Source organism: Homo sapiens, chromosome 4 (assembly GCF_000001405.40).
Source record: "Homo sapiens chromosome 4, GRCh38.p14 Primary Assembly".
Classification (NCBI taxonomy): Eukaryota; Metazoa; Chordata; class Mammalia; order Primates; family Hominidae; genus Homo; species Homo sapiens.
Genome location: NC_000004.12, coordinates 38,351,391 through 38,366,865, shown reverse-complemented (window position 1 = coordinate 38,366,865; position 15,475 = coordinate 38,351,391). Strand labels below are relative to the sequence as shown.

At 39.9% G+C, this 15,475-nt stretch overlaps 3 annotated features.

The window, feature by feature from the left end:
- Window positions 32-171: an enhancer, noted in NCBI's record as "active region_21433". NCBI's record gives its function as "activates an Ori minimal core promoter by ATAC-STARR-seq in GM12878 lymphoblastoid cells {active_cell/tissue: GM12878}" and the evidence as "EXISTENCE:reporter gene assay evidence [ECO:0000049][PMID:35858748]".
- Window positions 292-371: an enhancer, noted in NCBI's record as "active region_21432". NCBI's record gives its function as "activates an Ori minimal core promoter by ATAC-STARR-seq in GM12878 lymphoblastoid cells {active_cell/tissue: GM12878}" and the evidence as "EXISTENCE:reporter gene assay evidence [ECO:0000049][PMID:35858748]".
- Window positions 9,106-9,330: a silencer, noted in NCBI's record as "fragment chr4:38359157-38359381 (GRCh37/hg19 assembly coordinates)". NCBI's record gives its function as "represses an EF-1alpha promoter that drives an FKBP-Casp9 reporter gene in an ReSE screen in K562 erythroleukemia cells {active_cell/tissue: K562}" and the evidence as "EXISTENCE:reporter gene assay evidence [ECO:0000049][PMID:32094911]".

The window sequence follows — 15,475 nt, the reverse complement described above, 5'->3', positions numbered from 1 at the left end:
GGAAAAAGAAAAAAAAAAAAAGTCACTAAACAGCAACCAAAGTGCCATACTAGATATTATCTGCTGACAGTAGACATCTACTCTTACTCTCATTTGTGTTTCCTCCAAGGGTCTGGAAGGCAGCCAGGGTTCTGGGTGAGATTTAAATTCTGCCAGTGAAATGAACTTTCATGCTATTTGGAAGGCAGAGGAGAGGTGGAGACTGTTTTCCCACAGCTGTGACAGCAGACAAGATGTGCCAACAAAAGCAAGTAGCAACAACTGGGCTCTGCACTCCACTCCCTGGTCACCAGTGTCTGGAACAGAGGTGGCAGGAGCTCAGGTTTTCTGACCTCTAGCTTATAGCAACAGTGGTTGATCTTGAAACCAAAACACCAGAAGCTGATTTTTACTACTCCTTCTCTTCTAAAATGTTGTGAGCACTGAATTTCCTAGATGAAGCCAATCTCTTTCTGCTTGAAATATTATATTTGTAATGGTTTTCTTTTTTCTATGCTGAACCTGAGCTAGCACCCCAAGCGTGAAGCCAGAGTCAGTGACTCCCCTTTCCACACCCAGACATGATATAACCAGAAGAAAAATGCTCTTTTACCCAGAGAGCAACATGGAGAGTACCGTAAAACAAACTGGATCTCAAAGTGCTGAGATGACTCCTCCGGGGAAACTAGTGACTGTTGGCCCATTGGGGATTGCTTCTTAAAGTAGGTGGGATGAGAGCCTTGTCTTGCTGTGTGGACTGTAATACTCAACCTTTACCACCATGCACTTAGTCCCAGCACAGACCTATCTTCTACCTTTTTCATCCACCATCCTAATGTCACAGAGAGGGAATGCATGAAATCTCACCAGTACGCTTGCTGGCCCACCATGTTGACAAGATGCCTCGCTAATAGAGCAGAGGCACAAGAGCCCATGACCATGGCATGGAGCCAAGTGTCAGCTAAAGTCCGAGACAGCGAAAGAAGTGTAAACAAAGGAAGAACGCTTTACAGGCATCATGAATCCCACGCCCAAAAATGCAGACAGGCAGTGGACTTTTGGAAATGGAGTCTCTTGGATTTGTAGCCATCAAAAACAAAAAGGCTTTTCAAACAAAGATGTCATTTTACAGAGGCAGAAAGAGCCAATGCTGCAAAGTGTCTTTAGCCCTGCAAATTCAAGCATGAAATGGATATTCAAGGATAGCTTGCCCACAAATGCAGAAGCTGGGACACAGAAGATGCATAAAATATACAAGATACATCTTGAATGAAATAAAATGTAAGAAGGAATCCAGAGAATGTGCAAGCACCTTCATTTTTAAGAAGAATCACTATAATATCCAGTTTCTACCTCATAAGGCTGTTTCCGTGTTCCAGGCAACAGCTGGTCCCACTTTATTGCTGTGGGTACAAAGAGTTCTAGTAAATCCTGTGTAATAGATGTATTCATATGCTCCATCCTTTTAACAATCTTCTTAATTAGGGTGCTGTCCTTTTAAGCAAAGCATTTATATAGTTATTTTATTGCATTTGAATACAGTGTTAGCTTCAATAGACTTAATATAATTTTATGGGTTTTTAAAAAATTGCTTTACAATGAGGGGAATTTATTTTATCATCATTGTGGAGTTATTCCCATGGACTTTTAAGAGCCTTTGGTACAGAGGTTTATGAATCACTGTAGAGGAGAAAGGATCCTAAAGATGTGGTAGATGGTGGTGGTTCTGCCACTTACCTTACTTCTGAGAACCTCAACTTTCACGTCCATAAAACAGAATCAGAATATTCCTCGCCTGCTTCATGGATAAATTGTGAACATCAAATAAGCTATTATATATGAAAGGGCTTTACAAGGCATTGAGAGTTATGTACATTTCAGGGGCTATTACTACCCCCTTGGAAGGTCCCGTCCTCAGTCCCATGAGGAGATGGTGCTAGTGCATGGGTTTTAGGGTAGGCTTGGACTTTCAGGATGCATGGACAGGGGAGAGCAGAGAGAGCCTGGATTGTTTAAGATGCTGGGGTATACAGAGGAGAGCCTCAGGCATTGTGGGAGTAAGGGCAGAGGGCCAGGAACAACAGAGGACAGATGTGGAGTTAATTAGGTGTTAGCTATGGGTACCTGCTGACATTCTGGTACCTAAGGCTGGGCCTCCTCTTCATTACCAACAACCACCAAGTTACTTTCCAGGCCTCTACCTAGTCAGTGTCACTCAAAACCTCATTCTCTCTTTCATTAGAGTTCAGACAAACGATTCTTCACTTAAGCGACCAAATGCTCTGGAATATCCTCTATGTACCCTAGAGCACTAGGATTCCATTTATTGGGGTCAAATGTCTAATCCCCACTTAAATGTAGATAAAATGGAACGTGGCCAATATCAGGTTTCAGCTACCCATGCACAACACAGACATATCCTCAACAGTATAATTTTCAAATGTGAATGACAAAGATTTATGAAGTAAGCCCTAATGTCTTTCAAATGATACTACATCACCATTATTTTCTTTTCCTTTTTCTTTTTCTCTTTTCTTTATTTTTTTTATTTTTTTATTTTTTTATTTTTTATTTTTTTTTTGAGACAGAGTCTCGCTCTGTCACCCAGGCTGGAGTGTAGTGGTGCAATCTTGACTTACTACAACCTCTGCGTCCTGGGTTCAAGCGATTCTCCTGCCTCAGCATCCCAAGTAGCTGAGACCACAGGTGCCCACCACCACTCCTGGCTAATTTTTTGTATTTTTAGTAGAGATGGGGTTCCAGCATGTTGGCCAGGCGGGTCTCAAACTCCTGGCCTCAGGTGATCTGCCTGCCTCAACCTCCCAAAGTGTTGGGATTACAGGCATAAGCCACCACACCCGGCCTGCATTACTTTTTTTATCGTTGTGCATCACAGAACCAAAGGAGTGTTAGTCACCTTTCAAATCACGTCATGAAATCCATTATGTTGTCCACCATATATTCAATAAGAAAATTCAATTATGTCAAGCCCAGCTGTTTTATCTACTCCTTTTAAAATATATTAATGTTTCAGTTTATTCTCAAGTATATAGGCTGAGAGGCAGTAGTAATAGAGTAAAAAGACCACCGTACTTCAAGTAAGAAAACACAGGTTTTGTAGGGGAGTGAAAAATTTCTCTCTTTCAGTTTCCTTGGCTGGGCTACAAATTAAATGGACATATGACAGATTAACAGAAGGAAAACCATATTTAATTATGTGCATACCCATGGGAGTTCTACAAAATATGTCTCGAAAAAGGGTCAGATGATTGATGCTTATATAGCATCCAGAACCACAGAAAAGAATAGAGGCTTGGGGCTTCTGGGGGGTGGTGGAGACACAAGGAATGAGGTTCCTTGGCTGGGCTACAAATTAAATGGACATATGACAGATTGACAGAAGGAAAACCATAGTTAATTACATACATACACATGGGAGTTCTACAAAATATGAGTTTCAAAGAAGGATCAGATGATTGAAGCTTATATAGTATCCAGAGCTACAGAAAGGAATAGAGGCCTGGGGCTTCTAGTGGGTGGTGGAGACACAAGGAATGGGAAGGTGAGGGGAGGAAATACAAGGTGAACAAAGCTTGTCTTGTTATGCAGATTACGAGACTCTGCACCCCTCAGAAGAACAGGCTATCGTCAGGGCATGGAGTTAATCCGTAGTCTCTTTTCTTGTGATTGAAATTAATCTTACCTGGTTGATAAGATTCCCAGAGAGAGGAAATAACGGTTGCGTTCCTTTTGGAGGATCTGTCTTTAGGCGGATAAGGAGAGCTCAGAGAAGACCTCTGCCTGCACCACTGTTCTCCAAGTGCCCTCCAGTTCGAAGTAATCAGCATACCAAAATGTATTTTGTGGTGGCGTTTCCTGACCTCCTTCAGTTTGAATCTGATTTTAACACGCTGGAGAAATTTGAGCAAGTTACTCTATCCCACTGGGCCTCGGTTTGCCAAACTCTTAAAATGGGGATGATATTGTCTACCTCACAGAGCAAGGATCAAATTTGATAATGTGGATGAAAAAGTTTGGGAACAATTAATGTTAGGGCCTTACTTTATCGATTATGTGTTATGGTCATGGACACATGTCCTAATTTGTTGGTATCTCATTGATACTGTAAACTCTCAACAATATTCTTCTGCAAATACTGATTTACAAACTTCTTAGCTGCAGATCAAGGGGGTTAGAAGCTGACTTTCCCTTCTTGGCATCTCTCTCCTTCTCTCTAGTTTTAATATTCAATTTAATCACGGCCATGCCCTTCTTGACTGACCTCGCAATTAAAGATCAAAGCAGAGTCTCATTGCCAATTTCAAGTCCATCTAACTGCTATCCAGATAAAGAAGCTTTTATTTTTTTTTTCCATCTTTTTTTAGAGGTGGGGTCTCACTCTGTTGCCCTACTGGAGTACAGTGGCTATTCACAGTCTCAATCACAGCACACTACAGCCTCCAACTCCTCAGCTCAAGTGATCCTCCCACCTCAGCCTCTGGAATAGCTGGGATTACAGGTGTTTGCCACTGTGCCAGGCTTAGACACTTTAATATTCTCTAATACAATCCTGAGAATGTACACCACAGGAAGAATAAAAGGAAATGTGGACAGTCTTGGACCTCTGAGTGAATGAAGAGGAGTGTGCAAGGCCTAAGGCAAAATGTCAAGGCCAAATGATGTCCCATGTCATAGTCATATGATTCTGCAGCCTATTTGTTTACATAAGTCCAAAGCTGAATACCAAGATGTTTCTTTTAATCCAGTGCAAGGTGAAGGAAATGCTAACGTGAAAGATAAGTAGAAAACAATGTGAAAACATATTTCCTATCAGATGAAATTGGCTACTGGCTGAGCATCTGTTGAGGCTTGTAGGGGGCCTATATTAGTCTGTTTTCTGTTGCTTATAACAGAATATTTGAAGCTGAGTAATTTATAAGGAAAACGAATTTGTTTCTTACTGTTATGGAGGTTGAGAAGTCTGAGGTTGAGGGGTCATATCTGGTGAGCGCCCTCTTGCTGGGGGGAGATCTCTGAAGAGTCCTGACGTGGCTCAGGGCATAACGTGGCAAGGGGGCTGGGCGTGCTAACATCCTCGCTCAGGCCTCTCTTCTTCTTCTTATAAAGTCGCCAGTTCCCCTCCCATGTTAACCCATGAATCCATTAACCCATTAGTCCATTAATCTATTAATGAATTAATTCATTCACAAGGACAGAACCCTTATGATTCGATCACCTCTTAAAGACTACATTTCTCAACACTGCCACACTGGGGATTGAAATTCAACATGAGTTTTGGAGGAGACAAATATTCTAATCATAGCGGGAACCACTAATTAACACCTTTTTTCCTTGCCTATGTTTTTGTTTTGTTTTGTTTTGTTTTTAGAGACAGAGTCTGTCTGTGTCACCCAGGCTGGATTGCAATGGCAAAATCTCAGCTCACTGCAACCTCTGCCTCCTGGGTTTAAGCGATTCTTATGCCTCAGCCTCCCAAATAGCTGGGACTACAGGTGCACACCACCATGCCCGGCTAATTTTTGTATTTTTAGTGGAGACAGAATTTCACCATGTTGGCCAGGCTGGTCTCGAATTCCTGACCTCAGGTGATCCACCTGCCTCGGCCTCCCAACGTGCCGGGATTACAGGCATGGGCCACTGTGCCCTGCCCTTGCCTATATTTTGAACCAATTGAGAAATAAAACAGGACCCAAACATCACCCTTATTATTGATGATGTTAATATTATGAACATGGCTAATAGGTACAAATAAGTGGCTTCCTAATGCTAATATTTTAGAACATGCCTTATAGGTACAAGCAGGTGGGCTTCCTACTGTAGACACACATCTAGTCATGGCCAGGTCTCCCCAGCAGGCTTCTCCCATGTTTGGGAGCAATGGAGACTTATTCTCTCTGCAGGTGGGCTCACTCCCAGGAGAAACAGAAGAGGAAGAAGCTCAGGAATGCATGCCCAGGTCCTCCTTCAAACCCACCCTGAGGAAGAAAAAAGGTTGGAAAGCAGAGAAAACCCAAGAATATTATGTTAGTAGAAGTCCTTCTGCAGAGATAGAAGCTTCAATTCTGGGAGAGAAGCATTTCTGTACAGCAGAATAGTCTTTCTTTCAGCCTAAAAGTAGATTCCTGTAAGAGCAGTTAACTCTGAAAGTCCACAATATGTAGCAATTGTGTTTCTTACAGATGATAACTTGGATAGAACATCCATATTTTAAGAATATTTGTGTATTGAAAAATATTTGGCTGCCACATCTTTCATCTCCCTTCTTACAATGGTTTCTCCTCTGGGCCATCTACCATGCTAATTATAAGCCCATCTATCAACCCAAGACTGGGAAGACAATAGTTGATGAGCAGTTGGAAATAGAGGGATTGAGAGCAATGGCTGTTTTCCAGATCACAGAGTCAACGCTATGAAACACTTTGCAAGATGGCATGTTGTTTTTTTTCTCCCTCAGCCTGGATTATTTCTTAGTGTTCCTGATTCTGCTGGCAGGAATCCTGTTGAATTCAGGAAAACCATATGAAACCCATCCTGGGTGTTGCCAAAATAAATTGTTAATCATATCAGATGTAGCACCAAAGAGTCTTCCATCATAGTCAATTTTCTGTTTTGCAACTGTTCCCCTTGGCTCCATTCAGGATCTGCCAAGAGAAAAGGAAGCTTCCATTGTGCATGCCACATCTTGTTATCTGCTGGAGGAGAGAGGCCAGTGGGGAAGGCTCACTGGGTCAGGATGAGGGTACCTCTAACGCTAACAAGAGGTGTTTACTACAGCCCAATTTCAATGATCCTTCTGGGCATACTAAGAGCGTGTGATCCTCAACTGTATCCATTAAAGCCTGGGAGCATGACAATCTCACGAAGGTTCAATAGGCACAGAGTGGGGATGGCCTGTAGGATTTGTACCTGAATATTTCTAAATGGCTTCTTTAGATGCAAAAGTTATATAAAATGACTACAATTGCCTCCACTATCTGGTTCAATTAAATGAAACCAACTTACCTGAGCACATAGTTATTTGGACTGTTGTCTAGAGGAGAAGGAAAGAAGCAAATGACAACCAGGGAAGCCGTGATCCAGATTTTTTTTAATGGAATGAAAGCCAATAGGTAAGCAATAACTAAAATCTGTCCTAGAGTAGGTCACATCAACACATTGAGTCTAGTCATAATAGATCCTTGGGAAACACACTGAATTCCTTTGAATTGAATCTGCGCCCCCTCCACATTTACAGTATTCTACAGGTGTTGACATGAACATGCTGGAGGGCTAAGCAGTTCTTGAATGTTAATCGTGGCATAGGTCCTTTATATGTACCAGGGCTAGAAAATGAACTGATATGGTTCAAACAAGAAGGAGATTTTTTTCAAACCTCAGATATTCAGATGAACACATTCAGCATCCCTCTCTGGCCTCCATTTAACTGAAGTTCATTTGCTTTGCAAGATAAACACAAAGGTTGTTCTGCTGTCATTCTCAAAGCATGCCAGTTCTAGTGGCTCTCATCAAACCTACTTCTGGATGTAAATCTTAATTTCAGTCTTAATAAAGCAAGTTCTAGTCAACAAGCTTCATTTCCCATGACTCATTTAGAGAATGGTTTTTGCGTGCCGATTTGTTTTGATCTATATATCTCATTTTTCTTCTGAATTCAGAAAGCCATCTTACCTGAGCAAGGATCAAGCATCCAAGTCTAGAGCTAAACTGTAATATTAGAACATTTCTGACACCATAAAGTCAACCTAAGTGTATTAGCATACCAAAGGGTTGAAGATGTGACACTTGAAGATGGTTAGCTGTTATGTGAGGAGACATTTATTTATTAAAACATAAAGGAAAAATGAATCCCAGAAAGCAATGTGGATACCACTTTCCTGTATTTTTAACTTGAAACTTCCAAATATGAAGTTTTAATCCACCAGTTTAGGTTCTAGCAATGATGTTTCTGAATATCTGGTGTGTATGTGTGTGTGTGTGTGTGTGTGTGCGCGCACACCCATGCCTGTGTGTGTGGTGGGGGGGAGTAGGTGTACATTTTCTGTGGAGAATTTGAAAACGATAATAAAGCCAATTAAGAGATGGTTACTTTTTATTATCACCACATCATGAACAGTCTTCAACCATGTCAGAGATAAAATGCCTTTCCTCAAAAAACTTGTATTAGTGTAAGTTCTACACAATTATAGCTGTTACCTTTGGATTTAATAATATATAGATAAGCCTCAAATTAGCAAATTTTATTATTTATCCATTTCTCTTCTGGCTATTATTATTCATTTTATTTCACAATTATTCCTGAAATAATGTCATCAATATACTAAGTACATCACTAGGTTCTAGGTAAAAATACAGAGTGTTTCTACTTTGAAAAAGTACAAAAAGTGATCAAGGGGAAATATGACTTAGTTGCAGATGAAGAAATGAATGAATGAATCCTGCCTTTTTATACAAATGTTTGAGGTAGCTTTTAAGCAATGCCCACATAAAATAGCAAAATGCAAACAAAATATCAGATCTACAGGAAATATGTCCGAATAAGGAGGTGGCCTAGGATAGAGGAGAGAAACACACATGTGCATGTTGTAAAGTCTTCTATGGTGGCTGACATGAAGCCTCTATTTTGGCTCTGGGATTCCTAGCAGCCAAAGAAAATATGCAAGCAGAAACATACACACTACAACAGGGTGTGATTGATGTAATACAAAGTGACAGCACTGGCTGGAAGTATGCAGCAAGCAAGTATGTTCCTTGAGGTACTATGATCAGTAAGCTGTGATCACATCAATGGTTAATTACAGGTCAATTAATGAATAGTTACAATGCAATGGGGTAAGTGTTGCCAGTAGCTCATATGGAATGGTCTGCTGTCCATGGGAGTTTGCTAACCTGATAATGGAATGAGAAAAGATGGAGAAAGGCATGCAAACAAAACATATAGACTATGCAGAGGCTCAAATAATTAAAACAGCATGTGAATTTGAAAAGTATAAGAACTTCAGTGTGACTGAAGATGGAGTATACAATTTAGGGTGCAGCAGCTTTTGAAGAACTGCAGGGGTAGACAAACTATGGCCCTCAAGTCAAATCTGGCTCGCTAGTTGTTTTCGTAAATAAAGCTTTATTGAAACACAGCTGTGTCCATTCTTTTACATATTGTTTATGGCGGCTTCCTCATTCTTTTTGGTGGTGGTGGTGGTGTTTTTTTTTTGTTTTTTTGATAGAGAGTCTCACTCTGTCGCCCAGCCTAGAGTGCAGTGGTGCAATCTCTGCTCACTGCAACCTCCGCCTCCCGGGTTCAAGCAATTCTCTTGCCTCAGCTTCCCAAGTAGCTGGGACTACAGGTACATGCCACCACACCCAGCTAATTTTTTGTATTTTTAGTGGAGACAGGGTTTCACCACGTTAGCCAGGCTGGTCTTGAACTCCTGACCTCAGGTGATCCACCCGCCTTGGCCTCCCAAAGTGCTGGGATTACAGGCATGAGCCACCATGCCCGGCCTGCTTCCTCATTCTTTACTACAAAGGTGAGCAGTGGACAGAAACCCTATGGCCAGCCTAAAATATATACTCTGTGATCCTTTACAGAAAAAGTTTACCAACCTCTGGTATAAAACATACCAAGGAGTTTGAATTTTATCCTGTAGATGAAAGGGAAAGAGTGAAGGATTTTTAAAAGTTAGGGAAGTTAGGAAAACCAGAAGGGTGGCCCTGGCAAGTTTACTTCACCAATATTCATCTTAATTCCTTAAAGGTAAAAATGATTTGATGTGTCACCTAACCCATGCACCTTAAGGAAGACAATGTCATGGCTGAGTACATAACAACAGTCTCAAAAAAGGTTAACTGGACACCAAGACTTGAGTTGTGATCAAATGATCTACCAGGCTCATTTGAGATATGCTCTAGGCCACTGGGTAAGGATGTGAGGAGTGAAGAGAGTGTCTGGGATATTTTTATCTGCATAAAAGAATCATTTTGTATAGCTTTTTGTATGTTCAAAAAAAAAAAAAAGAAAAAGAATGGTAATAAAAAAAATTCCTTTCCTATATCCTGTTTCCTTCTAAAAGTAGTATTGTTTTACATTTTACATTTGAATGCATAAATCTATGACTCATTGTGAATTCTTTTTTGTATAAATTATAAAGTTTAGGTCAAGATTCTTTTTGGAGGGCTGTGTGTGTGTAATGGTGGCAGCACCACAACGTTGAAAAATGAAAAATGTTGCTTTTAAAAAAATTAAGACATGACATACTTCTGCTGATTTATTTTCTTGTGGATAGTTTTCTATGCATATGCGTCTGCTCTGCCGCTTTATGAATTGAGATTTTTTCCCCAGATCTTAACTTGCCCATATTATATTTCAGCAAACAGAAAGAATAGTTTTTTGTTGTTTTTTAAAGAATCATTTTGCGTGGCATTCCCATGTTTACGAGGCATATAGATAACGTAGTGGTTAGGAGCACGAGCTCTGGAGTCAGTTTCTTGGTCAAATCCTGTCTTTGACCATTTACCAGCCATGTGCCTTTGGAGACAAGGTTCAGTGTCCTCGTCTGTCAAATAGTAATAATAATAGGACCTGAGCTGGGCACGGTGGCTCATGCCTGTAATCCTAGCACTTTGGGAGGCCAAGGCGGGCGGATTGCCTGAGCTCAGGAGATCGAGAAAGCCTGGGCAACACAGTGAAACCCCGTCTCTACTAAAATACAAAAAATTAGCCAGGCATGGGGTGTGCGCCTGTAGTCCCAGCTACTTGGGAGGCCAAGGCAGGAGAATTGCTTGAACCCAGGAGGCGGAGGTTGCAGTGAGCAGAGATCACACTACTGTACTCCAGCCTGGGCGACAGAACGAGACTCCATCTCCAATAATAATAATAATAATAATAATAACACCTACCCTATCATAAGGTTGTTGTGAAGGCTGATGAGTTATACAGTTCTGTTCACACAGGAAGCACTCAATAAAGCTTCATCGTTCCCATTACTAGAAGCATTTAGGTGGAATTTAACCCTGACTTTAGGATATGACATTACATCATATCACATTACTTTACATTGCATCTCACGACATTTTAATGTAAAACGAGAGATTCTCCTCTGTTCTACTCTCTTGGCAGCTACAGAAATAAGAAACTGGTTATAAAATTCCCTGAGAACAGAGGGGACAGGAATTGATATTTGAAAACAAATGATTAATCTTTTTTGATCCAAGACCCAGCTCCCAGGGTTTTTTTTTTTTAGCTATTGGATTAGTTTCCCAGAGTTGCCATGACAAATTACCACAAACTGTGTGCCTTAAAACAATATAAATTTATTCTCCTGTAGTTCAGGAGGCTAGAATCTGAAGTCGAGGTGTTGGCCAGGCCCTACTCCCTCCAAAGCTGCTCGTTTCAGCTTCTAGTGGCTTCCAGACATCCTTGGTGTTCCTTGGCTTTTAGCTGCATCACTCCAACCCCTGCCTCCATCCTCACATTCCCTTATTCCTTTCTTTGTGTCTTATAGGAACACCAGTAATTGGATTTAGAGCCCACCCTGATGCAGGAAGACTTCGTCTTCTTTGATCCTGTCACTCATGTAGTGAGCATAGTATCTGATAGTTTTCCAACACTCGCACCCTCCCTCTAGTCATCCCCAATGTGTATTGTTTTCATCTTTGTGTCCATGTGTATTCAGTGTTTAGCTCCCATATGTATGTAAGAACATGTGGTATTTGGTTTTCTGCTCCCGTGTTAATTCACTTATGATGTTAGTGTCCAGCTGGGGTATCCGTGTTGCTACAAAGGACATGATTTTGTTCTTTTTCATGGTTGCATAGTATTCCATGGTATATACATACTATTTTCTTTATCCAGTCCATCACTGATGGGCATCTAGGTTGAGTCCACGTCTTTGGTAGTGTGAATGGTGCTGGGGTGAACATGCAAGTGCATATGACGTTTTGGTAGAATGATTTGTTTTCCTTTGGGTGTATACTTAGTAATGGGATTGCTGGGTGGAATGGGAGTTCTGTTTTTAGTTCTTTGAGAAATCTCCCAAATGCTTTCCACAGTGGATGAACTAATTTACATTCCCACCAACAGTGTATAAGTGTTCACCTTTCTCTGCAGTCCTGGCAATATCTGTAATTTGACTTTTTAATAACAGCCATTCTGACTGGTGTAAGATAGTATCTCATTTTGGTTTGGATTTGCATTTCTCTAATGATTAGTGATGTTGAACATTTTTTCAAGTTTGTTGCCTGATTGTATGTCTTCTTTTGAGAAGTGTCTGTTCATGTTTTATGCCCATTTTTTAACAGGGTTATTTGTTTTTTGCTTGTTCAATTGTTTAAGTTCCTTATAGATTCTGGATTACACCTTTGTTGGATGCATAGTTTGAGAACATTTTCTACCATTTTGTAGGTTGTCTGTTTACTCCGTTAATAGTTTCCTTTGCTGTGCAGAAGCTCTTTAGTTTAATTAGGCCTACTTGTCAGTTTTTATTTATGTTGCAAATGATTTTGCGGACTTACTCATAAATTCTTTGCCAAGGCTGATGTCCAGAATGGTGTTTCCTAAGGTTTTTTCTAGAATTACTATAGTTTTAGGTCTTATATTTAGATCTCTAATCCATCTTGAGTTAATTTTCATATACGGTAAAAGGCAGGGGTCTAGTTTCAATTTTCTGCATATGGCTATCCAGCTACCCCAGCACCATTTATTGAATAGAGAGGGAGTCCTTTCACCATTGCTTGTATTGGTTGACTTTGTCAGAGATTAGATGGTTGTAGGTGTGCAGCCTTATTTCTGGGTTATCTATCCTGTTCTTTTGGTCTATGTGTCTGTTTTTATGCCATCACCATGCTGTTTTTGTTATTCTAACCTTGTAGTATAGTTTGAAGTCAGATAGTATGATGCCTCTGGCTTTACTCTTTCTGCTTAGAATTACATTGGCTACTTGGGCTCTTTTTTGATTCCATATGAATTTTAGAATAGTTTTTTCTAATTCTGTGAAAAATTATATTGGTAGCTTGATAAGAATATTATTGACATCATAAATTCCTTTGGGCACTATGGCCATTTTAACAATATTGATTCTTCCTACTCATGAGCATGGGATGCTTTTTCATTGTTTGTGTTGTTGTCTGATTTCTCTTAGAAGTGTTTTGTAATTCTTGTTGTAGAGATCTTTCACCTCCTTGGTTAGATATATTCCCAGGTATTTTTTTGTGGCTATTGTAAATGGAATTGCATTCTTGATTTGGCTCTCAGGTTGAATGCTATTGGTGTATAGAAATGCACTGAATTTTGTACATTGATTTTGTATCCTGGAACTTTACTGAAGTCATTTATCAGTTCTAGAGGCCTTTTGGTGGAGTCTTTAGGGTTTTCTAGGTATAGGAATCATGTTATCTGTAAAGAGACATAATTTGATTTCTTCTTTTCCTATTTGGATGTTTTATCTTTCTTTCTCTTGCCTGACTGCTCTGGCTAGGACTTCCAGTACTGTGCTAAATAGGAGTGATAGTAAGAGTTGGCATTCTTGTCTCCTTCCAGTTCTCAAGGGGAATGCTTCCAGCGTTCAGTATGATGTTCCACCATTCAGTATGATGTTGGCTATGGATTTGTCATAGATGGCTCTTATTATTTTGAGGTATGTTCCTTCAATGCCTAATTTGTTGAGGGTTTTTTCAACATGAAGCAATGTCAAATTTTATCAAAAGACTTTTCTTCATTTATTACATTGATCATATGGTTTTTGTATTTAATTCTTGTATGTAGTAAATCAACTTTATTGATTTACGTATGTTAAACCAACCTTGCATCCCAGGAATGAAGCCTACTTGATCATGGTCAATTAACTTTTTGATGTGCTGTTGGATTTGGTTTGCAAGTATTTTGTTGAAGAATTTTTGCCTCTATGTTCATCAGGGATATTGGCCTGAAATTTTCTTTTCTTTGTTGTGTCTTTGTCAGGTTTTCATATCAGAATAATGCTGGCTTTACAGAATGAGTTAAGGAGGAGTCCCTCCTTCTAGATTTTTTAGAATAATTTCTGTAGGATTGGTACTAGCTCTTTTTGTACCTCGAATAGAATTTGGCTGTGGATCCATCTGGTACAGGACTTTTTTTATTGGTACTTTTTAAAATTACTGATTCAATTTTGGAACTCAATATCGGTCTGTTTAGGGTTTCAATTTCTTCCTGTTTCCATCTTGGGAGGTTGTTTTTTTTGGGGGGGCAGAATTTATCCATTTCTTCTAGGTTTTCTAGTTTGTGTGCCTAAAGGTGTTTGTAATAGTCTCTGAGTATTTTTTGTATTTCTGTGGGATCAGTTGTGTTGTTAGCTGGTTTTTATGTAGACTTGACTGTGTAGTTGCTTTATAATGTCAGTGGGCTATATGCTAAAGTGTGTTTTTGTGGTGGAATGTGTCTTTCTTTTATTTCAATGTTTAGCACTCCCTTAAGGACCTCTTGTAAGGCAAGTCTTGTAGTAACAAACTCCCTGAGCATTTGTTTATTTGATAAAGATTTTATTTCTTCTTCTCTTATGAAGCTTAGTTTGACTGGATATGAAATTCTTGGTTGGAATTTCTTTTCTTTAAGGAAGCTGAATATAGGTCCCTAATCTCTTGTGGCTTACATGGTTTCTGTTGAAAGTCTGCTGTTAGCCTGATGGGATTCCCTTTGTACATGACCCAACCCTTCTCTCTAGCTGCTTTTAATATTTTTTTTATTTCACAATCACCTAAGAGAGTCTGATGACTATGTGTCTTGGGGATGGTCATCTCATATAGTATCTTGCTAGGGTTGTCTAAAGTTCTTGGATTTGCATGTCCGCTTCTCTAGCAACGCTGGGAAAATTTTCATGGACAATATCCTCAAATATGTTTTCCAAGTTGCTTGCTCTCTCTCCCTCTCTTTCTGGGATGCCAATGAGTCATAGGTTTGGTCTCTTTACATGATCCCTTATTTCTCAGAGGTTTTGTTCATTTAAAAAAATACTTTTTCTTTATTTTTGTTTGCATTGATTCAAAGGAACAGTCTTTGAGCTCTGAGATTCTTTCCTCAACTTCTTCTACTCTGTTGTTAATACTTCCAATTGTATTATGAAATTCCTGTAATAAATTTTTCAATTCCAAAAGTTCAGTTTGGTTCTTTCTTAAAATGGCTGTGTCATCTTTCAACTTTGGGATTGTTTTACTGTTTCCTTTGGATTGGGTTTCAACCTTCTCCTGTATCTCATTGAGCTTCCTTGCCATGCAGATTCTGAATTCTATGTCTGTCATTTAAGGCATGTCATCTGGTTAAGACCCATTGCTGGGGAGCTAGTGTGGTTGTTTGAAAGCAAGCAGGCTGGTGGATGGGGTGGTGTGCAGATCAGATTTGCCCCAGTCCCATGGAAAAAATAGCCCTGCTCTCTCTAGATCTGGCAGTTAACAAAGGTCAGAACCACCTAGAGGAGTATGAAGAGCCTTTGGGGATGGGTGCCTATGACCA